Source organism: Homo sapiens, chromosome 12 (assembly GCF_000001405.40).
Source record: "Homo sapiens chromosome 12, GRCh38.p14 Primary Assembly".
Lineage (NCBI taxonomy): Eukaryota > Metazoa > Chordata > Mammalia > Primates > Hominidae > Homo > Homo sapiens.
This window is the reverse complement of record NC_000012.12, coordinates 72707257-72709532: the sequence shown is the minus strand read 5'-3', so window position 1 is coordinate 72709532 and position 2276 is coordinate 72707257. Positions and strand designations below refer to the sequence as shown.

Here is a 2276-nt window from a genome sequence, read left to right as displayed (position 1 = left end):
TCTTGAAGCAAATAAATAATCTCTGCTGGCAGGGCTATGCTGAATCTCCTTAGGCACTCTCTAATTAAATGTCCTAGGTCCTCCCAGTTCTTAGACCTTTATACCTGTTTTTCTCCTTCTCTTATTCCATTTAGTTTTTCAATTCATACAAAACCGTATCCAGGCCATCACCAATAATTCTAAATGACAAATGTTTCTTCTCACAACCCCACAATATCACCCCTTACCACAAAATCTTCCTTCAGCTTAATCTCTCCCACTCTAGGTTCCCACACCACCCCTAATCCCGCTCGAAGCAGCCCTGAGAAACATTGCCCATTATCTCTCCATACCACCCCCCAAAAATTTTCACCGTCCCAACATTTTACCTCTATTTCACTTTATTTTTCTTATTAATATAAGAAGACAGGAATGTCAGGCCTCTGAGCCCAAGCTAAGCCATCATATCCTCTGTGACCTGCACATACACATCCAGATGGCCAGTTCCTGCCTTAACTGATGACATTCCACCACAAAAGAAGTGTAAATGCATGAAATTCATATAGAAACTCATATAATATCTTTCATGCGCGTCCGTGTGAAGAGACCACCAAACAGGCTTTGTGTGAGCAACAAGGCTGTTTATTTCATCTGGGTGCAGGCGGGCTGAGTCTGAAAAGAGAGTCAGTGAAGGGAGATGGGGTGGGCCGTTTTATAGGATTTGGGTAGGTAAAGGAAAATTACAGTCAAACGGGGTTTGTTCTCTGGCAGGCAGGAGTGGGGGTCGCAAGGTGCTCAGTGGGGGTGCTTTTTGAGCCAGATGAGCCAGGAAAAGGACTTTCACAAGGTAATGTCATCACTTAAGGCAAGGACCAGCCATTTACACTTCTTCTGTGGTGGAATGTCATCAGTTAAGGTGGGGCAGGGCATATTCACTTCTTTTGTGATTCTTCAGTTACTTCAGGCCATCTGGGCCTATACGTGGAAGTCACAGGGGATGCGATGGCTTGGCATGGGCTCAGAGGCCTGACATTCCTGCCTTCTTATATTAATAAGAAAAATAAAACAAAATAGTGTTGAAGTGTTGGGGCGGCGAAAATTTTTGGGGGGTGGTAAGGAGAGAGAATGGGCGATGTTTCTCAGGGCTGCTTCAAGCGGGATTAGGGGCGGCGTGGGAACCTAGAGTGGGAGAGATTAAGCTGAAGGGAGGTCTTGTGGTAAGGGGTGATATTGTGGGGTTGTTAGAAGAAACATTTGTCGTATAGAATGATTGGTGATGGCCTGGATACGGTTTTGTATGAACTGAAAAACTACATGGAATAAGAGAAGGAGAAATAAAGGTATAAAAGGTATATATCAGCTGTGATGGCTTGGAGAAACAGTGTAAACCGGCAGTGTAAACAAGAGCAGGGCATTTATGAGTAGTTGAGAACGGTAAATAGGAGTATGACTAGACAAAAGATAGTAGGGATGACAAGTTTTTTTGGGGCACAGTCTAAGTTGGTCTGGTGTCGAATGAGACTGGGGCCTAATAAAAAGGAGCGTCTATACAGGAGCTTAAATGGGCTGTACCTTGTAGCATTCTGAGGACAGGTCTGAATTCTGAGAAGCGAAAGTGGTAAAAGTATTATCCAATCCTGTTTAAGTTGGTGGCTGAGCTTGGTGAGGTGTGTTTTTAAAAGACCACGAGTCCATTCTACCTTTCCTGAAGATGGAGGACCGTAAGGGATATAAAGGTTTCACTGAATACTAAGAGCCTGAAAAATGGCTTGGCTGATTTGACTAATAAAGGCTCGTCTGTTATCAGACTGTATTGAGGTGGGAAGGCTAAACTGAGGAATTATGTCTGACAGAATGGAAGAAATGACTGCGGTGGCCTTCTCAGACACTGTAGGAAAGGCCTCTACCTATCCAGTGAAAGTATCTACCTAGACTAAGAGGTATTTTAGTTATCTGACTCAGGGCATGTTGAGTAAAGCTAATTTGCCAGTCCTGGGTGGGGCAAATCCTCAAGCTTGATGTGTAGGGAAGGGAGGGGGCCTGAATAATCCCTGAGGAGTAGTAGAATAGCAGATGGAACACTGAGAAGTTATTTACTTGAGGACAGATTTCCACGATGGAAAGGAAATGAGAGGTTCTAAGAGGCGGGCTAGTGGCTTATACTATAGTATAATCTGCCTTTGCTGGTGTGTGGCGATTAAGCCTGGTGGAACCGCCATCAATAAACTGAGCGTGATCAGGGTGAGGAACAGGAAAGAAGGAAATATAGGGAAATGGGGTGAATATCAGGTGGATCA

The 2276-nt window shown here is 44.2% G+C and overlaps 1 annotated feature.

The window, feature by feature from the left end:
• Positions 607-1212: an enhancer, noted in NCBI's record as "OCT4-NANOG hESC enhancer chr12:73102101-73102706 (GRCh37/hg19 assembly coordinates)". NCBI's record gives its function as "activates a minimal SCP1, AML or CMV promoter by ChIP-STARR-seq in primed H9 embryonic stem cells {active_cell/tissue: H9 hESC(primed)}" and the evidence as "EXISTENCE:reporter gene assay evidence [ECO:0000049][PMID:30033119]".